General features: G+C 44.1%; 1 protein-coding gene across 5 annotated transcripts in view; it reads left to right on the forward strand.

The window, feature by feature from the left end:
* SDK1 (sidekick cell adhesion molecule 1) overlaps positions 1 to 23197 on the forward strand; it is a 967749-nt gene that overhangs the window by 571770 nt on the left and 372782 nt on the right. For 2 of the 5 annotated variants that reach the window (XM_024446683.2, XM_024446684.2), the window contains exon 1: positions 18272 to 21638. The exons of 1 other annotated variant lie outside the window; for it this stretch is intronic. In XM_024446683.2, coding sequence (XP_024302451.1) covers positions 21545 to 21638 — 94 coding nt within the window. In that variant the 5' untranslated portion in view covers positions 18272 to 21544. Of the gene's footprint in view, positions 1 to 17854; positions 21639 to 23197 lie in introns of those variants that run through there. 2 more of the 5 variants (XM_047420038.1, XM_047420037.1) reach the window with 2 other exon arrangements.

A 23197-nucleotide genomic window follows, 5' to 3' on the forward strand; every position in this document is an offset into this window, starting at 1 on the left:
ATTCCATTTATGATGCTTTTCATGTCTTCGTATTTATCCCAGTCTCTGACCTATATCATACTCCTTTTGCCTGAAGAATTTTCTTTAATGTTTCATGAAGAGTATGTCTACTGGCAGTAAATTCCATGAGATTTGTTTTTGTCTGAAAAGTCTTTCTTTCTCCTTCACTTTTAGAGGATATTTTTACTGGGTGTAGAATCCTGTATTGAGATGTTTTTCTTTAAACATTTGATGTAATTCCACTGTTTTCTTGTTTGCATGAGTTCTGCCAAGAAGTCTGCTATATTTCTTATCTTGCTCCTCTGTAGGCAATATGTCTTTTTTTCCTCTGGCTTCCTTAAATATTTTTTATTTGTCCCTTCTTTTTCAGTAGTTTGAATATCATAACTAGATGTAGAGTTTGTGTTTTGTTTTGTTTTGTTTTGCTGCTTGATGTCCTCTAAGCTTTGATGATTTGGTGTCTGTCACTAATTTTGGAAAATCCTAGCCCATTATTTTTTCAGCCATTTCTTCTGTCCCTTCTGTTTTTCTTTCTGATTTTATAATTCCAATTATGTATATGTTAGGCTGTTTGATATTCTTCCACAGTGCTTGCATGCTCCATTTAGTTTTGTTTGCCTTGTTTTTTCTCTTTGCATTTCAGATTGATTAATTCCTATTGACCCATCTTCAAGTTCAGTAGTCTTTTCAAGTCTGCTCATGAGCCCATCAAAAGCATTTTTAATCTAAATACTGTTTTTCTGATTTCTATCATTTCCATTTAATTCTTTTTCACTTAATTATTTTTATAGTTTCCATTTTTGTGTGAAATTACCCGTCTGATCCTATATGTTATTTACTATTAGAGCCTTTAACATATTAGCTATAGTTGTTTTAAATTCTTTGTCTGATAGGTCCAAGATACATGTCATGTCTGAGTCTTCTTCTGATCATTGTTTTGTCTCTTTGTGGAGTATTTTTCCTTGCTTTTTTTCATATGCCTCATAATAGTTTTGTTGTTGTTGAAAGCCTGTTATGTCATATAATAGGACAGTAGACACTGAGGTCAATATTTTGTGTGGTTGGAGATGAGCATGCTTTTCTTTCCACTGGGCCATTAATATGAAGGTTTTTGTTCGTTTGGTCAGAGATTTGGCTAGGTTTAAAGTTTATCATTGCCATGGTTACCCTCATTCTACTCGAGGCCTAAGTTTCTCTAGTGGAATCATGTGTTCATAGCATGGGATAATTTTTCAGACTTGTCTCCGTATCTGCTCCCCATTTGTCTTTTGAGTTTCCCTGACTTGACTTTGAGTCTTCTCTTTGCACTGGTCCCCTCAGGGAATCTGCTTCTTGCAGCTCCCCTGCTGTATCCTTCAATTATGTTTGCTTAGTGCTTTTGAGTGTGTGCAGGTCATGTGTGTGCAGGGATTGAGGGCATTCTTTTCTGTTCTGATTAAGCCTCAGGCTTAGGCAGGTGCCTGTGAATCTGGGGCCTGAGGCTGTAGTCCTGACAAGTGTTCCTGCTCCTTCCCTACCTGTCATGCTGGGCCTAGCATATATTCCCGCCTCCCTTCCAGGGGTAGAACTCCTTCTCCACCCCCGTTCCCCTGCCCTATCTGCAGTGCGATCCCACCCCTGCCCTCATGCTACAGTTTTTGTTTTGTTTTTTGCTCTTTCTCCTGCATAGTAAGGCTTTCATTCCTTAGGGAAGATGGGGGTGATGAGTGTGTGCAGAGTTTGGTGGTAGCTACCATTTCTTTCTGACCACAGTAAGATTCTAGCAGTGCCTTAAAGCTTTAGTTTTTTGTCCTTCACCCTATAGATTAAAGCTTTTGTTCTTCCAGGAACATAGGGGAGATACGTCTCAGGAGAGTTTTGGCAGAGGTGCCTGTTCTTCCCCCACATCCAGCACCAAGTGGGGGAAGCTGTCTTAGGTTTCTCATTGAGCTGCCCTGAGAGCACCCTTTAGGGTTCCTGGAGGAAAATCCTACTCTAGGCTCTTAACCCCTTTATGTCCTGGTCTGTGGGGCTTTATACACGCTCACTAGCCCATACTTGGCCTTAGGCAGTTTATTCAGACTTCTAGTTGAATCTTCCTATGGGCTTATAGTGAGTTCAAGGTGTCTGTCCCAGATAAGCAAATGGTTGGGTCTGTTTCTCCCTGGAAATGTCTATCTCTTTCTGGATTTTCTAGGTTTTGAGTTAGTTTTTTCCCTGTACCCTTGGTTCTCTGACAGAGTCAAGAAAAGTCATTAGTCTGCACTTCGTCCAGCATTTTTCCTGTGGTAAGAGTGAGAGCAATGTTCTTTCCAGCTCTCTACCTCTAGGAGCTGAAAGCACAAGTTTGCTGTAGCCAGTTTCTGCCACTTACCTTTTAAGTCACTCTCAGAAAACCAAATCGTTCTTTAGTTCCTTTAATACCCAAGATAATCCCCAGATCACAAATTAAACTGTTTAGTCCCACATAGAGGAAAGGCTCTCGGAGCGAGTTTTTGCCTCTCCTATGCAATCGTGTGTCAAGCTGGCTCTCTGCAGTGGGAAAGGGGCTGTGGTAGGCGTCCCCTCTTTATCCCCACTTCAGCTTCTTCTCCATCTCTCTCAGCTCTATGGGTTCCACGGAACCCTCCCAGTTTGTAGATGTAGAGACTCGGGTAGGAAAGATTGGCAAAAACTGGGGTGTGGGCAGGGATCTAAAGGAAGGAGACAGAAAGTTCAGACTTGACCAGTACTTTCTGGAACTAGCAGAGGTGGTTGGTTATAGGTGGTGTTCTCTTGTTAGACTCTTTGTGGATACCCCTGAAACCCCTATATCCTTGGGAATCTCCACCTTCAGGCCCCTTAATATGTAAGAGTGTACCACCTGCAGCTGGTAGGTCCTGGTGTCCCCTCCTTAACTCCTACCATCAGGGGCTACACTTCCAGCTTCTTTGTTCTCTCACTTGCCTGGCAGTTCTCTTGAGCAAAGTCTAAGACACTGTTTCTCACACAATGTGGGGGAAAGTTTTGCTTGGTAGCCTCTTGCCATAGGTGGTGGAAGTATGTCATTCCAATCCACCGCTCTTCCACTGCAGGTGCTCTGGCCAGAACTGCTGTGGTGTGAGTCAGGCACTAGTCTGCTGTTTCCCTCCAAATTGCCGGGGACACATCCAGACTCTCCCAGTGTCCTCCTGAAGTCCTCACGCTTGACTTGAAGTGAAGTAGGGTAGGGGCTGAACTCCCAGCATCCTGGCAACTTTGTTCAAAGTATTTCTCCTAATTTCCAGCTTTTTGGGCAGCATTTTCCCCAGTCTTCTTTGGGGTAGAAATGTGTGACCAGCTAAAGTTTGCAAAACAAGTTTTTGACATCCAATGCTGCAGGTCCTGTTTTGAGGACCTTCTACCATGGGATGTGGAAAGAATCATCACATCAACTTCTTGGGACCTCAATATAAACTAAGCCAGGAAGAATTCAATATTTAAATCTTTTTGTCCTCATTCTCCTAAAATGAACAGATGCTTTTAGAAACTGGTTCTAGGAAGTACTTTTTCTCTGGGTATTATTTTTATAATTTTAAAATGTAAAAACAGGCATTGAGAACTCATAACATCTTAAGATATTTAGAGTTTAAGATATTGAAAATTACATTTCATATTTCAAAACCTAAAATACAATACTATAGTAGACCTTAAGTGGCCAAATGAAAGATGTTTTTGGAGAGGAATGGATACTTACTGTCTTTTCTTTTGACACAGTGGCACTTTTAATCAAGATAAGTGACCAGGCTTCCATGTGAAGTCTCTAGAGCTAAGGTAGGAGATACTAGTTGGGCTGGATTCACCAAATGTTAGCATTTTAACACAGCTCTATCAGACTTCACACAGGGGCCCCAAAATAATTTTTGTGTAATTGAATTATGTCCATTTTAATAGGGATTTTCTTTTTAAACGAATTCTACTTTGTTCTTTTCTTAAAGCAAAGACTTTTATGCTAAGATAAATACCTTCTGTCCCTCTGCCCCTCTCCCATATTTCCTTTGTATAAATCTTCATTCTTACATTCAGAGGTGACGTGGGCATAGTTGAAAGGTCACAGTTAAAAGCTCTAGCTTCAGAACCAGAGAGGCATGGATACAAATTCTGGCTAGGAACAGACCCCAATCCATTGGAATGAATAAACAACTCATCAGAGTGGCCACTTGGTCTTTCAGTCCCTAAACCCTCCTGGCCCATGGCAGCTGAGCGTTGCCCCTGTTTTTTCCATGCATTGGAGAGTCCGCCTCTCTGAGCTATGTTTCCTCCACACTTGAGGCCAATAATCATCTTGCAGAGTTGTTAGGAGGATCAACTGAGGGACCAACTGAGGTTCCTTGCACATAGTAGGCCCTCAGCAGAAAGTAGCTGCTATGACATTGTTAAACGTTCGACATCTCAAAGAGAGAACAACCGTGTTCCCTCTCCACCCCACAGTTCAGTGTGCCCAGCTTGGAAACTCACATCTTTTTGGGGATTAGTTAATTGATTGGAGATATGAACTGTATCTAGTGGAGGCATGTCTTTATCTTCTAGAGAAAAATCTTTAGATGGTTTATCCCTTTTAACTTTGGTTATAAAAGTATTAAAAAAGAATACACAAAAGATCTGAAAAAGAAACAAAATCATCTGTAATCCTATCACACAGAGTTAACCACTGTTAACTTTTAAAGCATATCTTTTCAAACTTTTTTTTCTATGAAAATATGGAGATTCGTATAAGACGGGGTATCATCCTAAAGTCAATGTGGATAACCCCTTTCACTCAGTGCTCTATCACAGACATGTTTTCATGTCAGCAATTAACACCTTCATAGAATGCCATGATATGGATTTTCTAAATGTATTTAGCCATCAATGGAATTTAGGTTACTTGCAGTGAACTGCAGTGAACTGCCTTACACATAAGTCTTTTAATACATACACAGCTGTTTCCTTAGAGTACATTCGTTGAAGTAAATTTGCTGGAACAGAGGGAATGCCTATTTTAAATAATGAGACATATCACCACATTCACTTTGGAAAGGCTGTTCTAAGTTGTACATACTCCCATTAAAGCATATGTAATGTCCCTGTCTCTGCATTTAAAAGCTCTTGAATAAAACATTTTTATAGTCTTTGATAAATGAGAGAAGTTTCTCCCCAAAATCAAACAGTATCTTTTCAATTTTTTTTTCATATTAAAAGAGAAAAACTCAGTTGTTTAAAAAATAAATAAAGGCTTTTGGCCGGGTGCGGTGGCTCACGCCTGTAATCCCAGCCCTTTGGGAGGCCGAGACGGGTGGATCACGAGGTCAGCAGATCAAGACCATCCTGGCTAACACGGTGAAACCCCATCTCTACTAAAAATACAAAAAAATTAGCTGGGCATGGTGGCAGGCGCCTGTAGTCCCACTTGGGAGGCTGAGGCAGGAGAATGGCGTGAACCCGGGAGGCGGAGCTTGCAGTGAGCCAAGATGGCACCACTGCACTCCAGCCTGGGTGACAGAGCAAGACTCTGTCTCAAAAAAATAAAATAAAATGAAATAAATAAATAAATAAAGGCTTTTTAACCACAAACGAAGTTCTCTTGTCATGACAACTATTAACACTGTATTTATCGGAATTGGTGAAATCTTAAATATCATCTCATATAATCCTCTCTCTTTGTAGATGAGCAAAGTTAGATCAGCACTTAGAGGGTTCGAAGAGGAAGAGTCTCCTCTGTTTCTGTTATCTCTTTTCTTCTCACCCACCTTCTCATATTCAAATAATCATCTTTTTTTTAATTCCTAGAGGAAATATTATTTTTCTCCTAATATCAGGGCAGCCCTGTGACATTTAAAATTCTTTTATTGGAAGTCTAACATGCATACACAAAAGTATACAAATCTCAACTGAATGAACTATCACAAAGTAAAAGCCTGTGTAATCGCCACTCAGGTCAAGATAAAAAAAAATTTTAATTAACATTTGCTAATACAGATGATCATAATGAAAAATGTAAAATTGCTGTGACAGTCTCTTGGACTACAACTTCTATATCCGACAGTCAGTAATTTCTTGGGAGAAGGTACCCAGTTGGTCTCCCCACCTTTACGATTATACTTCTCTGGGGGACAATCTGTAATATTCTGTGTGCGGTAACTTGCATAGTTTTAAAACGATCCACACCACTGAATATTCTTACTATTCGTGAAGCCAAACCAAGCAGTTGTAAGGACAAAACATGGCGGCTGCAAGAGTGTGTGATTAGGATGACACCACTGTGGCCTAAAACCAAATGCTTTGGTACAAGTCAAAAATAAATGGTTTGGTTTCAAGTCACAATTTGGTATTACCCTTGCAGTTACTAGATGAAGGTGGAGGCAAACAACTGGGCGCTTTGCATCTGAGAAGTCTGCAGAGAGTGAGAAGTATTTGCTGCAGCCGCTGGGCTCAGCCACTTGCCCCTGATGTCAGAACTCCCTGGAGGCAGAGACCGCAGCACCCTGACTCCTGGACCCCACGCCCTTTTCAAGGGGCCAGGCTGTGCTTCAGAACCTTGGCAGAGAAGGTTCCAATTCTGTACCGGCTCCTGGCAGCCAGCCACGCTCCCGGTACTCAGCCTCACTCAGCCATTCGCTGCGTGTCCAGGATGGACACCCAGTTTAATCTTGTTGTTCAGTCAATAGCTTTTGCATTATCTTTCTTTTTGTGGTTAATGTACCATTTTTCTTCTTTTCTTCCCCTACACAAACACTGCCATGCCTGAAGTACTTCCCCTGCTTGTAGAGAAGTTATAGCCTGGGCTGTAGTGGAACAGTGCTCTGATTAAAGTGATTAAAACTATATACAGCATGCATAATTAACCTTTGCGCGGCTGTCACAGCAAGCTGATGCATGGAGCTGATACCATATCTGTCTGTGGCAGGCGGCGTATGCTACATGACCATTTTTTTTTTCCTGCAGAATTTTAATCACTTGAGATAAAGAGCCAGGAGAGAGAGATCAAGGCTGTATTAATCTTCTCAATGGCTTTATAATTTCCCTTCTATTCTGCTGCTGGTAATCAAGAAAAATAATGCCGCCTTAATCCTGGATGCCAAGGTCAATCATCTCTGTGCCCTTTGATAGTAAGGATGTCATTATGAAAGGGTTTTTAATGAACATGAACATAATGCTCGCCGCACTCCTCAGGGAGATGGATGCGTTCTGCAACTTCGGGATGGCCAGGTGGGCCTTCATTGCTGACAAAAATGATTTTAAAACATTAGCTCTATTAGAAATAAATCCCGAACAGCTGGTTGAGGTTGCAGACCAGCCGTACCCAGCAGTGATTGAGAAATTCAGGAATGAGCTGCAGCAGGTCAACAGGTGAGAAGGGCCCAAGCCCTGATTAGCGGTTGGGCAACACAGCGAGAACCAGCACGGGGCGGGGGCCTTGGGTAGCCTCAGCAGCAGGAGCCCGGCCCGCGGCGCCAACACCAGCGCCTCTCTGGAGGGCTGCCAAGATCAAAAAAGTGCAGCGATGCGCAGATGCGTGGTGACATTTTAAAACAATGCCCTGGTCTTTTTTTTTTTTTTTTTTTTTTTTTTAAGAACATGCAGACAGGTGAAAAACAAAATCCTTTCAGCTCAAACGCACCTGAACTAAATCCCAGAGGGCTGAGTGCTGCTGTACCACTCCCTCCCGCTCTTACTTGGTTTTCCCAAAAACACATTCCCCAGGTCGAGGTGGTGGAGCTGACCCAGCCTTCACTTCACTGAAAGACAAACCAGACGGGCTGAGAGCAGTTCCCGGGCCTCCAGAGGCTGCGGCTCGCACAGCTTTGCCGGCTGTGGTTATGAACTGTGATCTGACAGTGGAAGGCAGCACTTGTTAGGAAATCTTTATGTAGCATGGGTCACTTACCCTGGTGAAGGAAAGGCGAGGAAGGCGTCGAGTTCAGACTTCAAATACACATGAGGTACCTGGGATTAGGGGAAAGAAATGAGTAACAAGCCGCCCACTCACCCTTGAGAACAAAAGAAAAGAGAGACCTTCATCTCTGGTAGACAGGATTTTAATAAGATTTGGGAAAACACACAAACATTCTTTTTTTTTTAATCTTTATTTTTCATTTATTTTCTTCAGCTTTTAAGTTCCGGAGTGCTTGTGCATGAGGTGCAGGTTTGTTACGCAGGTAAACCTGTGCCATGGTGGTTTGCTACACGAATCAACCCACCACCTAGGTATTAAGCCCAGCATGCATTAGTTATTCTTCCTGATGCTCTCCCTCCCCTACCCATGCAACAGGCCCCCCAGTGTGTGTTGTTCCCCCGCCATGTGTCCATGTATTCTCATCGTTCAGCTCCCACTTAGAAGTGAGAACATGAAGTGTTTGGTTTTCTGTTCCTGCGTTGGTTTTCTGAATATAACGTCTTCCAGCTCCTTCTGCGTCCCTGCAAACGACAAGATTTCATTCCTTTTTGTGGCTGCATGGTATTCCATGGTGTATACGTAACACATTTTCTTCATCCATTCTATCATTGATGGACATTTGGGTTGACTCCATGTCTTTGCTATTGTGACTAGTGCTGCAATGAACATATGCATATGCGTGCATACATCTTTATAACAGCATGATTTATATTCATTTGGTTATATAACCAGTAATAGGATTGCTGGGTCAAATGGTATTTCTGCTTCTAGATCTTTCAGGAATTACCACACTGTCTTCTACAATGGTTGAACTAATTTACATTCCCATCAACAGGAAAACACACAAACATTCTAAAGTGAGCCCTCACACCAGAATGGTTCCTATAAATGGTTCTTCTTTGTATGTCTTTTAAAATGCATTAGATTTACTTTCTCTCAAGTGGTTCATGGTACAGCTTCCCTTCACATTGAGGGATGGGCTACGGAAGCTTGGAGCTCTGTTCCCGGGAGGCTCCTGAATTACCAGCTATATTAGTCCATTTTCACGCTGCTGATAAAGACATACCTGAGACTGGGTAATTTATAAAGAAAAAGAGGTTTAATGGACTCACAGTTCCACATAGCTGGGGAGGCCTCACAATCATGGCGGAAGGCAAAAGGCACGTCTTACCTGGTGGCAGACAAGAGAGAAACGAGAGCCAAGTGAAAGGGGAAACTCCTATAAAATCATCAGATCTTGTGAGACTTATTCACGACCACGAGAACAGTATGGGGGAAACTGCTCCATGATTCAGTTATCTCCCAGCCGGTCCCTCCAAAACACGTGGGAATTCTGGGAGCTACAATTCAAGATGAGATTTGGGTGGGGACACAGCCCAACCATATCACCAGGTGGGGGGTGGCTGTAGAGGCCCACTTGAAATGCCTTTCACTCCTGAGAATGCTGCAGGGAGGGCGACCTTGGATGGGCAGAGTCAAGGTCAATGCCGTATGAGCCAGGAGACCCTGATGCGGGAGGCCCCTCTTTCTCTTCAAGGGCTTTGCTCATTCTTCTCTCTTTTATCATCTGACCCCAAACACTGATTCTTTCCTTCTAGAATTTGTGTTTGGACTCAGTAAATACCTCCATTTGGATTCTACTCATTTAGAATGTATGATGATCTGACCTAGTCTGGGATGAAATTTACTCTTGTACCATCTTTGAGAGAAGTGTACATGGAGCCAGTGTAGAATGTAAATAGCATTGTTGGAGCGTGTTTCACCTCCTTCCATGAACAAACTGTTTTTAAGGACTTAGACACCGCTGTTGTCACTATTTACAAATGAGCCTTCTTTTTTTTTTTAAAAGCCAACTTGGCAGGGTCTCTCCTGGAAACCACTTTGTTAGCAATTCTCTTCACCAGTTAAAATGAAAACTGAATTATAAAAAATTCTATAATTTAGACATTCTCTGCTTCCTCTGAGTTACTCTATTGACGCAGAAAACAATTTAGTCATGCATACCTAAGAGATTGTTCTGGCTTTTTTCCCCTTCAAATGTAATTTAGGTAATGGAACATTTGCCCCGTTTCCATAGATCAGTTGAAGTGCTGGCTGGAAGGGCCGCCCAGATGTGATCCTCATAAGAAATTGGAACATAGGAACTGCCACACTGAGTTATTGGTGCAGTTTATGGAGCTCAGAGGTTTTCTACTGGTTTCTACAGAGCCCACGGGTTCCAGGGAGGTGCCTAGAGGTCTTCTGAGGATGAAGCAGGAGATTCACGGGGTGGCCAGTGGGCAGGACCCCACACACACAGGCTTCGACCAGAGAAGCCTGCTTTCCTCTGTTTTCTGCATTGGGGTTCTCCTAGGATTTGTTAGGGGGAAAAGAGGTTTCTTAAAAGCTTAAGGCCTTGTATATAGCCCTTTGCTCTGTCTCAATAGAATTTATAAAGACAAGATTGATCTCCTTGATAAGTCTTAAGCGAGGAACGTGCCTGAACGGCTAAGTGCTTGTTGCAGACATTATGAGCCTGTCTGCCGCACATGAATCCAGCTGTGTGTGTGCACATGCAGGTGTGTGTATGTGTGCGGCCCTTCATTATTTGAGGCCCCTAAAAAATCACGTCGTTGCCAAAATGAGTTCCAGAAATTCATCCAGTAACCAGGGCACATGGGGACCAACAGAAGACTTTGAGCTTAAATAGTCCTGGACCCCAGATCGTGCAGGCCTTTGACCTCTGTTCGAAGAAATCAAAACTGTGCCATGAAGACAGAACCAGAAACCTAGAGTCGTCCTCTGGACCTCGCTCCCTCGCTCCCTCCCTCCCTCCCTCCCTCCCATTGTCTAGCAGAGGGATCATCACTCTTCCTCCACGGTGGTTCTTGAATACAGTCCTTCCTCCATTCCTCTTGCCCTAGTTCTAGTCTCATCATTTTGGCCTAAATGACTTGGTATCTTAATTTTTCTGTCTCCAGCGTTTTCTCCTTCACTCAAACGTCCACATGGCCTCAATATTCCTACTTTTAAAACATCAATACGATGAAGTCACCAAACTTAAAAATAATCTTTAGTTGTTTCTCATTGCCAGAGGATGAAAGTCCAAAGTCCAACCCCCTTAGGAAGATATTTAAAACTTTACACAATGTCATTCTAAGTGATTGGTTTTTTGTTTGTTTGTTTGTTTTTTGTTTGTTTGTTTTTTTGTTTTTTTTTTTTTTTGAGACAGGGTCTCGCTGTGTCACGCAGGCTGGAGGGCAGTTGCAGAATCATAGCTCGCTGCAGCCTCGACCTCCTGGGCTCAAGCGATCCTCCCACCTCAGCCTCCGAAAGCATGGGGATTACAGGCGTGAGCCACTGCACCCGGCCGCCTTTCTTTCCTTGTAGCTTTTTGATGGCTGTGCATTATTTCATGTCCCACTAGACTGAGGCTCAGTGAGGGCCTCTTGCGTTTGAAAGCCTTGTGTCTGGCGCATAAAAGGAGTTCCATGGGTTTGAACTCAGTGCGCGGGAAGTTGTGCTTTGTTGTTTGATACTGTTGGTTTGTGAGTATCACTGCACGCCAGGCCTCTAACGTTTGCCTCTTTCTACCTCCTCACAACTACTTTACTCAGTGAGAGCAGTTAGCGCCGTTTCTCAGATGAGGACACTGAGTCTCAGGGAGATTAGGCACCTGGGTTAACTTTATTATTATTTACCATCCTTTGCATCCCCCATCTTTGAGCACATATTGTGTGCCAGGCTTGTTCTAGGTGCTGGGAACACACTCACTGGAGGCTGAGGGCAAGTGCACGGGCCAGTGTGGGGACCGGCCCCTCCAGCTCCAGCTCCCAGGAACTACAGCTATGGGCAGAGCCCATGAAGCAAGCGTGGTTAGATCTCTATAAATAGTTACATCTCTGGTGTGGCTCCTTCCAACTTGTGAAGGACAAGGTAACTCCTCAGCGTGAGTCATTACTGAATTACAGATTAGCTGATGGGGCCTTCTCTGCTACAGAGTGGGCCTGGGCTTTAAGGCCTGGGACTAGGGGAGGTGGAAGCTTATCCCTTTCTCGCCATAAGCGCTGTCACTCCAGAGCGGTGCTGCGCAAATTGGAAAGGAGATAGGAAGGTGATGTCCTTTCACCCTTGACCTCCTAGTGTGTCTCCCCCGACCCCCACCCCGCCCCATCTCTGCCAATAGCCCCTGGGGACTATGGCTAAGGGGTCAGGTGCACCTGAGCCTAAACCTGCCCATCCCTAAGGCTGTTCTGGTAATTCGGGAATGAGGGATGTCCACAACGCGAGGGCTGTGGGTCCGAGAGGCCTTCCCTGCTGGCCATGGCAGTCCCTAGTGGCTGGTTTTGAGCGAGTGCTATAAGTGCACTGGCAGTGACTCTAGGCCGGCTGCTTTGGGAATAACGTCTGTAAACTGACTGACGCCCGGTGGCAACAGAGTTCCTTGAATTTGGTAACTTGGGGGTGGGCTGCGTGGGCTGTGGGGGCTGAAGCCACCTATGACACACACTCATCACATTCCACAGAGAATGCAGTGCAGCCCTCTCTGATGATTTATTTGCTCTGTTTTCTGTTTATTGTACGTTATTATCCCTGTGCTTTCGGTACACGTGTCACTTACTAAGAACCCACCATGGCTTTGTCCTATCAAGTCGGCCCCGTCTAGCACCTCAGGCCTGTACCACCTGGCTGCGGCTCCCAGCCCTGCCTTCCTCCCTCTTGATGGTGTGGGAGAATTTCGTGTGTCTCTGTTTTCTTTCCTAAGTTGATAAACGCTGTGGTATCAATTATCATATCTTTCAATAAATAGGTTAGATGTTGCTTAATTGTTTAGTTAATTCCTGGCCTACTTTATTTCCTGTGATGCCGCCATGCCAAGCTGCATTAGTTGTACAGTTCCATTGAAGCCTTTCCCTTCTCTTGTTTCCTCCCAAAGTTCAAAATAAGTAACAATGGTGATGACAAATGCTAACACTCATTTAGCACTTTCTGGAGATGCCGGAGAAAAGTATGCATTCTGCTGTTGTTTTGTTGCGAATTCTCCCACTTACTCCTAAGTTGAGTTCTGAGTTTGGATGGTCTCAGAGGCATCCCGTGAAAAAAGGATTTCAGTGCAAGGGGTTTATCGAGGAGGTGATCCTAGGAGGCGGTGCCGTGCCACAGGGAAGGGAAGGCAGCAGATCGGAGGTTATCAGGCATGGTGGCCCCGCAGAGACCTGCAGCTCAGCCCCTCAGGAACAAAGGGAGGTGGTGCAAAACACGGACTGTACAGTTATCCTACGTCAGGGATGAAGGATGGATCTGGGCCTTCTACAGCAACTCCCAGCAGTCACCTTTGTTCAGTGCTGCACATCGGGGATTCTAATTCTCTGGAACATCTGGTCATTGTGGAAGAAAGCAGAGTGGACTCCAGCCACCAGAGAGAGAAAGCTGTTAGGCAAAGAGATAGAGATGCCGGACATAGGAAGTCGGCCAGCATGCGCTGTACGGCTGTAGAGGACACAGGCAGCAGCAGCACGGCTGCACCAGACCATCGGGGTATTTTTACTTTACAGATAATGAAGCTGAGTCTTAGAGGACTAAGTAGCTTGCCTCCAGTAACACTTGGAAGTCTTTTGTGTTCTTTACTCTCTGAAAAATTCTGACAATACAAATATTTAACTTTCAGTTGAGTTCACCAGTTGTTCAGTGAGCTTGGTTTCTGCCTATATTTGGGTTGGGTATATTTTCCACTTGACCCTGCCTCAAAAGTTGGCTTTTGGCCAGACATGGTGGTAACACCTGTAGTCCCAGCATTTTGGGAGGCTGGGGCAAGAGGATTACTTAAAGCTACAAATTCGACACCAGCCTGAGAAACAAAGCAAGGACCTGTCTCTACAAAAAATATTAAAAATTAGCTAAGCATGGTGGTATGATCCTGTAGTCTCAACTACTTGGGAGGCTAAGGCAAGAGGATCACTTGAGCCCAGGAGTTTGAGGTTGCAGTGAGCTGTAATCACACTACTGCACACCAACCTGGGCAAGAGAATGAGATCTCAATTTAAAAAACTTGGCTCTTGAAGTGCCAAGCCTCCTTGCATCCATGAAACATTATGTTGCAGCCTACTCTGAAGAGAAACCAATGAGGCTACGTTAATATTTTTTTTGAATGATATATTTTTAATTCAGACTTGGAGTAATTGATGGGCTAGGTTATGCCGCTGTTGCAAACAACTCGGTAATCTCAGTGGTTTGACACAGCCTGGGTTCATTTCTCACCTATACAGCGTCCACAGCAGGTCCATGTGGGTACTCAGGGGTCCAGGCTGCTTTGATCTTGTGGCTCCCCTATCTGAAGCTCAGCAGTAGCCCTGGCAAATCACAAGGATGACTGGAGACTTGTGCTTGGACCTTTCACTAATTCACTCCAGAAATGATAATGACATTTCTATTTCCATGTCATTAGCCAAAAAAAATGGCCCCAACTAATTACATGAAAGCTGACAAGTACAATCTTCCTTGTGCCTCGAACAGGCAGGGGAGGAACCGTGGAGTATTAGTGAACATGGAAAGCATGTTTCCCAGTAGAGAAGTAATAATAATTGAGCAATCATGATCAAGGCCCGCCTAGGGCATTTCCTGGGGATTTCTGAAAGGCTGGAAGAATTTTGCCTTGGGCTGTAAATGTCAATTGCTCATTAATTCCTCAGAAATGCCCACAGCCAAGGTTGCTATTGCTAATAAAATTCATTTGTTTGGTTATTTAACAAAACAAAAAAAGCATGTTGTCATTTTCCCCTGGCCTGATGATTCCTGAAGCAGATGATTATTCTCTATGTTCTACATCATATGAGTTTGTATCATCTTTTTCTTTTCTACCTCTCCAAGTGGGTGGGGAGTAAATCTCATTGGCCTGAAATATCATCACGGGCAGTACTCAGCCATTGTTCTCACAGCTGTTTTGAAATATAAATAACAAAAAAATGCATTTTAACGTTAATTTCAATATTTCTTTCCGCCTTAGCAACTGACGTAAGATTTGCTGGTATTGGGTTTTCTGCAAATTTTTATTCAAATGTGTTGTCTTGTATTTCTTTTGTCTGTCTGACTGTTTTACAGAAAAAGTGACCACTATGTAGTTCTTGTCACCTTAACAATAAAGGTGCTTTTCAAGTGGTCTATATTTCTTTTAAATATGTTTCAGTCAAAAGGAGACCAAAAGAGTTAGTAAAGAATTGGGTCAGCCTTACTGAAACAAATGGTTGAAGTTTGACTTCTCTCATCAGTGAATGATAGATGCCGCACCTTCTGCCTGGCTGGCACAGACTCCATTTGATGTAGGAGGAACTCATACCCTTGTAGCTTTTCCCACGTTGTTGTGAAAACTGCGGAAATAATTCCTTGTTCCATGTGAGAACGAGTCATCACTTAACTTGATGCTGTTTTCATCATATTGTCCCATCCCACAGTCTGGCCCACAGCCTGGCCCACAGCATCGGGGTGGAACCAGAAATGGCTCCTGCGGAGAGCAAAGCAGGACATGAACCGTACCCCGCCTCTGCAAGGCTTATGCTGTTATTAGTCCTGATGTACAGAGTGGATTCACAGAGGCCCTTGAGGACCAAAAGAGAAAATATATTCAGTAAATCAATGGTGATGCGTTAATAGACTGCTGCTGTATTTGTTGTTCACAGAATGTAATTCCTTGATAATGGCATTTTCTACAGTATATCATCACAGAACAATAGCAATATCACCACAACAGGAGTGACTTTGATAAATTATACAAGAATAGGATCTTATAATTTAGTACAGATCTAATTTAGGTTAAAAGTATTGGTGGAGAAGGAGATTTCATTTTTAACATTGTTCAGAGGTACAAAAAATCCTGGGAGAAAAAATTCAGACATATTGTGAGAAGCCAATGCACATATTAAGTTATTGGTGCAGATTTCGCAAGGTTTTCACATCTTTTGACTCATTCTCGTATTCTATATGTTATGCTATATGTTATTTTAATGTTTCATTTTACTAGAAGTTAATCTATGTGTCTAAAAATTGCAAGAGTGTTAAAAAGGAACTATGGCTCTTTATTATTTTAAAAGTGGAGATCTAGGAATAGCATAATTTTGTTGCTATTGAGTTTTTAACTAGATGTGTTGATATTCCTTGATAATGTTTCAAGGATCCTGACATAATCAACCGTGGCTCTTGCTTCCTCTGGGACCTTGAAGCTCAAAAACCCAGTAGCAGCTCTTAGCACTCTTAAGGCTGATAAAAATTGAGACTGAAAGTGATATCTAATCAATGCCTCTGAGATTCAATCAAATATTAAGATCCTTGAGGCCATCACACTATTTAATTGGATTCCTAATACTTCTTTATACTCAGATAGACTCCTGTGTCCAAAGGCACTCACATTGGTGAAGCTGGCAGCACATCGTGAGAGGAGGCCATTCTCCCTGTCCTGGCCCCTGGCATCCCAGAGTCAGGCCTACAGTTGGGCTCTCCCAGGACAGTGAATGAAGTGCAGGTGGCAGAAAGACAAAAAGAGGGTCGAGTTCCTTCATGGCAGCTGTAGCTGCATTGGAATCTACCGTGGTGGTGTCCAGAGGTGGCATGCCCTACAGTGGTACCAGTGGCATTCTGGCTAGATGATTCTTTTTTTTTTTAGGGATGGTGTCTTGCTCTGCCACCCAGGCTGGAGTGCAGAGGAGCGATCTCAGCTCACTGCAAGCTCTGCCTCCCGGCTTCATGCCATTCTCCTGCCTCAGCCTCCCAAGTAGCTGGGACTACAGGTGCCCGCCACCTCGCCTGGCTAATTTTTTTGTATTTTTAGTAGAGACAGGGTTTCATCGTGTTAGCCAGGATGGTCTCAATCTCCTGACCTCGTGATCCACCCTCCTCGACCTCCCAAAGTGCTGGGATTACAGGCATGAGCCATCGTGCCTGGCCTATATGATTCTTACTAGAAGGCGGAGGTTGTGTTTCAGAGGTAACTAGTCTCCTGCTGGTCTGTCTTCCAAGGCCAGTCAACCTCTTCCAGCTTTTGTGAACTCTTGAGAACCTTCCAGGAAACTCCCCGCTCCTCCTCCTCACTTTTGTGTAAGTTAACCTGATTGGTTTCTATCATTTGCAACCAAGAACCTCTGACTGGTTCAGTGGTCAGTATTGGCTCAACATTTCCTAAATGCTCAAATCAGACAGAGCCTTGGGAGACCGTCTGTCCCTCATTTTACAGATGGATTTCAGACATGGCCCTAGCTCAGAGTCCTGCAGACAGTTGGTAGCTGAGCAGGGACTAGAACTCTGTCCTCTTGATTCCAGATACAGTGCTCTTTTCACCTGTGGCCTTTCTAGTCTAGAGAATTACTCTGCAGACCTGCACTGCATGGTAGGCGCTAGCCACATGGAGTTGTTGAGCACTTACAATGTGGTACAATCCAAATTGATACGTGCTATGTGTGAAATACACAGCAGATTGCGAAGACTTTGTGCCGGGAAAAATGTCAATGATCTCACATTTATGTTTTTATGTTGATTGCATGTTGAAATTGTAGATGTGTTGGGTGAGATAAACAACATCATTAAGCTTGTTTTTTACCTTTTTCTTTGTACTTTATTCAACATGGCTGTCAGAAAAATTAAAGTTGCATGTGTAACATGGACTATGCACACGTTGAACCAAGCTGCTGTATGCAATTATAAGAAAAGATAACACTTGAGTCTCTATGGGTAACATTGGGCCTGTGGTTATTGTGCTGGGATATTGTATTTGTTTTTGCTGTGGTTAAAAAAAAAAAAAAGTAGCGGGTGTGGTAGCTCGTGCCTGTAATCCCAGCACTTTGGGAGGCTGAGGCAGTCGGATCACCTGAGGTCAGGAGTTCGAGACGAGCCTGGGCAACATGGTGAAACCCTGTCTCTACTAAAAATACAAAAATTAGCCAGGTGTTGTGGTGGGTGCCTGTAGTCCCACTTACTTGGGAGGTTGAGGCAGGAGAATCGCTTGAACCCAGGAGGGGGAGGTTGCAGTGAGCCGAAAGCACTCCAGCCTGGGTGATATAGCTAGAATCCATCTCAAAACACCATTTATTTTTCACTATGGGTCTACCAGTTGGCTGTGGCTTCACTGGGCCCAACCAGGCCAGCCTAACCTTAGCTGGGCTCTATGTGTTTTACATTTTGGGACCCAGGCTCTGGTGGAGCCATCACTGTCTAGAGCACATCCTTCAAGCACCGGAATAGAACTGGAAACACAGTAGAGACTCAAAGACAGGATAAGCCCAGTGGTACTTCCACTGGGAAAGAGGATGGGGGAGGCCCCACAGTCCACAGCAGTCCTAGTGTCCTGCTGGGCAAATATTTCAAGGACCCGTAGGCTGGGAGTAGGGGGTGTCGATTGGGCCTCAGTCGTGCTCCCGGGGAGGACTTTCCAGGCCGTGGTTTTCGTGGCTCTGAATCTGCCCTCTGCCAGGTGCACTCTTCTGTCATCCTCCATGGCTACCTCTGAGGAAGGTGCTGGAAGACATGCTCTCCTTCATGGCTGAGCAGATTTCTTAACCTGCTTCCTGCCCATAGGAAGGATGAATGCCGAGGATCGTTTTAGATCTCAAATGCCACGGTCTATGTTAATCCAGCCGAAAGTGTAGTTATCGATTTGTCCCTTTTGAAGCTGTCCTGTTTGTTTTTAATCTCTTTGATTCCGGTCAACCCCGTGTGCCTACAGTCATTTTTCGTGCATGTCCTCCTTTCTCTAAACTCAATTCCAAGTACACTGAGCACATCATGCTTCCAACAGGCCAAATTCTGGGTCTCTTTCTCTAGGCCATTTTGTGCAGTTGAAAGATTTCATTGGGGACCTTGATAATCCAACTAAAGGTTTCGGCGCAAGAGCCAATGATTGCATCTTTGATTTGGTCTTTACCCGTAGGCTGTGCTTTCACGGCCAACCTTAATTTGGTGAGAAATTGCTTCACTTTAAAATCCTGAAAATGTTGTATTTTCTCTCTTCCCTTTCAATTGTATTTGCAAAGCAGTGAGTTTTTTGGGAGGAGGCAAGGTGCATTTTTTTTTCCTTATAGCACGGTGTCAAAGGCATTCTATAACACCAGTTCACACAGGCAAGATTCTGTTTTGAAAACAAGTTTAGTTAGGCCAATTTTCTAAGTTATCATAGGTTATTTCTTTTTTCTTTTTCTTTTTTTGCCGGGTGTTTTAACACTGCATATCTTGGGTTGCCATTTTTCCAACTTCCTTTAACAACTTTCCAGCTTGCCATCACCTAAACCCAAAACCAATGACCCATATTTCAGGTTTTTGTAATGGCAGCCCTACTTCTGTGTACCAATTTCTGTATTAGCTTTTGCTGCAGTAACTAGCAATTCTCAAATCTCCATGGCTTCCAACAACAAACACTTATTTTTCACTTAAGAATCCTGCGAGTCAGCTGCAGCTCTGCCGAGCTTGGCTGTGTTCTCCACGTCTCCTCATGCCAGGCTGAGGCTGAATGAGCAGCTGCCATCTGGGCCCTGCTCTTCTCATGCTGGAGGGCAGGAGCTCCGGAGGGGAAGCGGGAACCCCCAGGATCTCATAAAGCCTCTGCTGGGACCTGGCAGCCGTCCCCTCCTCCCACAAGTCATATGGCAAGCCCAAGGTTAATGGGGTGAGCCTGTACCCTTCACCTCCTGGCAAGTCACGATGAGGAGAGGGCAGAGACAAATCATTTTGAACAAGTGATACAGTCTCTCACAGGCATAGATTCCAAAAAGAAACCCAGGAGAGAGTCACCATGCCTCAAATCAAGAACAGCCATATTGCATTTCTATCAAGGCAGAAGCACAGGTGTGACAGTGTGACAATGAACCCTGAGACCGGAGGCCCTCCAGTCCAGGTGGACATCCAGCTATGCAGCCAGCTCAGTGCAGCCGAAAGAACCTGGGAGGCAGTCCGGAAAGCTGAGTTCCTCTTACCCGTATCCCTGCAGCAAGCCACTTTCCCTCTGTGGATCTCAAGTTCCTCTTCAATATTAACCAAGAGTTAAGCAGAATCGTGGGTTGCTTTCGAGGATGCCGTTCTGATCTCTGCCAGCGCACTTCACATGGCAGGGAACAGGCTGCCTTCCCAGGAGGCCGAGCTGCAGTAGAAGGAGCATGAGTTTAGGAATCAGGCCAATTTGAGCGGGAAGCCCAGGCAGCCGTTTACCAGGTGTGGGTCCATCATATACCCTCTGACTCTGTTTCCTCATCTGTGAAGTGAACATCACAGCATCTAACTCTCAGGGCTGTGGGTAGGATAATTATTTTATACAGTGCCTTTTGCTAGGAAATTTTTTGTTGTGTTGAGTCAAAATCTGATCCCTTAACCAGTGAACTCCGGCCCCGGTTCTGCCTCTGCCTGGGGCAGCAAAACAGTGATTAGGAATATGGGCACGGGGGTCATCCCACCTGGGTCTGAATCGCACTGTCTGCTCCTGGTCAGGATGGCCGGGGGGAGGATCCTTAATGCCCCCGCGGTTGGCTTGCTATGCTTATCTGTAAATGAGCTACTGATAATATCAACTTCATAGTTTTGTTGTGGGGATAAATGAGCCGGTGCATGCAAACTCAAGTAGCTGTTATTATTTCAGTTGGCAGCTCCTCAGGTACCTGAGCCTGCTTTCCATACCTTCTGGGTCATCCCGTATTTCTTCAGGGTAAGCAACCTCACATTTCTCCAGCATTCTGTAGATGTCAAGCTTTCTGCAATCCTCCCCCGTCTAGCTGTCCTCTTGAGAATCTCCTTCAGGAGCTCTGGTTAAGAGATAAAGAAACAGTGAGGGCATTCGAGTTCATTATCCCAGCCACGATGGCATTCTAGATGTCTCCACAGACATTCAGGATCTGCCCAGGGTCCCACATCTGTCTCTTCTCCACATCTTACCCTGCCTTCTCCAGGTGATGGTGATTTCGTGATCCCAGTCACCTGCCCCCACCCTCACCTTATCTGACCCTGGCTCCTGGGCCACCCACTTGCCACTTGGAATATTTATTGTCTAACTGATTTTCCAGTATTAAGGATTTTACAGGTTTACACTGGAATTAGAAGTTCATCTGAACTGCCTGTGATGTCCCTGCTGGTTTCCCAATGGCCAGGCACTGCAGAGATGTATAAGATACGAGAATACAGTCACCTAAAGACATGGGAAGTTTTGTAAGCAATGTCTCCCGAGATTCCCCATTCTAAATATGGCAAGGAGTGTTTTAAGTACTTCATGCTTGAAGCTTTTCATGCATTTCCATCGTTGCAGTTGGACCAGTTTTAAAATATATATATCATAAATAATCTTCAGAACATTTTAATGTACTACCGATGGTATTAAAAGTCAAAGCTTTCACAAAATTTAATTTACTTCTCCCTGTAACTTAAGAACAGTTTTAAAATGTGCATGGCTCCTGCTAAATTTAACAGCTTCCCCTTTTGCCTTCTCGACTGGAGGCTGCAACAACCTGAGCCAGGAGGTCTGGCGACTACAATGTTTGAGTGAAGCTGTGAGATCCATGCCTGTACTGGAAGCTCCTGACAGCCTCTGCAGGGCCTTGGTGCCAGGCTCCGGGGGTGGTGGGGGAGTGGGCTTTCCTTCTTAGAAAGCCTCTAGGCTTTGCAGGTTCAGGAAGAAGCTCACCAGCTGGGTCCAGCCACTGAAAGGAACCCTGAGCCTCAGTTTGCAGCCCAGAGATGCTCCGGGGTCTCGCCCAGTGCATATTCCTGGAGAGCTACAACATCAGGGCATCAGATCCACAGAAGATACATGTGCTTCACTATACACCAGGTGTGTATTGAAACTAAAGCAGAGTAATACTATTTTTTCTTTTTTTTTTTTTTTTTTGAGACGGAGTCTCACTCTGTCCCCCCGGTTGGAGTGCAGTGATGCAATCTCGGTTCACTGCAACCTCTGCCTCCCAAGTTTAAGCGATTTGTACTTCAGCCTCCCGAGTAGCTGGTGGCACGTGCCACCATGCCTGGCTAATTTTTTGTGTCTTTTAGTAGAGAAGGGGTTTCACCATGTCGGCCAACTCCTGACCTCAGGTGATCTGCCTGCTTTGGCCTCCTGAAGTGCTGGGATTACAGGTGTGAGCCACTGAGCCCTGCCAAGACTCTCATTTCCTAACTCTTGATTACCAGCGTGTCTCTAATGTACATTTTACTGATTCATTCCTCTAAAAATATTGTTGCTTTTACTCAATATGGTAAAAGTTTCTATTATAGGGTAAGAAGAATAGCACAAAATATTCACCAGGCATGGAGGATATCATTGCAGTTCAAGAAAGAAATCATAAGTAGTAATTAAGGGGCTTGGTACCCATAGAGTCATCTCATCATCACTGTAATAAATCATTCTTATATTTATTTATTGGAGCCTGAGGATGTTAAACCCTTACTTTTGTATGACCATTCATAGCTTATTGGTGCTTTCATCTTTATAGAAACACATTAGAGTCTGGCTGCCTCAGGGCCCATTCCCTAGTCACTTCCAGCCAGACATCCATGTATCAAAGCTCTAGCCAATCAACATGTAGTGGACGTCTGCTAAGTAGGGCTTCCAAGGATGTTTTCTGTTTAGAATAAAAAGGGGGAAATGTGGCTAGCCACATTTGACCACTATCCCTTCTTCTGGAACATGGATGTAAAGCTGGAGACAGTGTAGCCATCTCGTGACCACGAAGCAGTGATGAGGAAGACAAGAAGCAACTCACGGAAGGACCCATGCCCCCTTTCTCTTTCCACTCCGCTGTCCTGAGGCTTCTTCTTCTTCCTCTTCTTTTCAAGTTGCGTAAAGTGGATACTTAGATCCCTGAAGTCAGACCTTTCTTCTTTTCTAGTGTAAGTGCTTGATGCCATCAGTATCCCCAGGCACTGCTTTAGGCTCATCTCCCCATTTTTATGTTGGGTCTTCATTTTCTTTCATGACAAAATATCTTCTAATTCCCTTTGCATTTTCTCCTTTCACCCATGGATTATTTATAAGTGTGTTGTTAAGTTCTAACTCTTTGGCGATTTTCCAGATAACTTTCTGTTACTGATTTCTGATTTAATTCTGCGGTGGCCAGAAAACATACTCTGCATGATTTCAATCCTTTTAAATTTATTGAGATTTGTTTTATGGCCCAGAATATCTTGGCATATGTTCTGTGTGCACTTAAAAAGAATTTGTATTTTGCTGTTGTTGGGTGGAGTGTTCTGTAAATATCAATTAGGTCAAGCTGGTTGATAGTCCCGTTCAAGTCTTCTGTTTACTGATTTTCTAAGTTTTAAAGACATTTTAAAAAATGAAAAACGAAATGTTTATATATTTACTCACATATTGACCATTTCTGCTGTTCTTTATCC

The sequence above is a fragment of the Homo sapiens genome, chromosome 7 (genome assembly GCF_000001405.40).
Source record: "Homo sapiens chromosome 7, GRCh38.p14 Primary Assembly".
Lineage (NCBI taxonomy): Eukaryota > Metazoa > Chordata > Mammalia > Primates > Hominidae > Homo > Homo sapiens.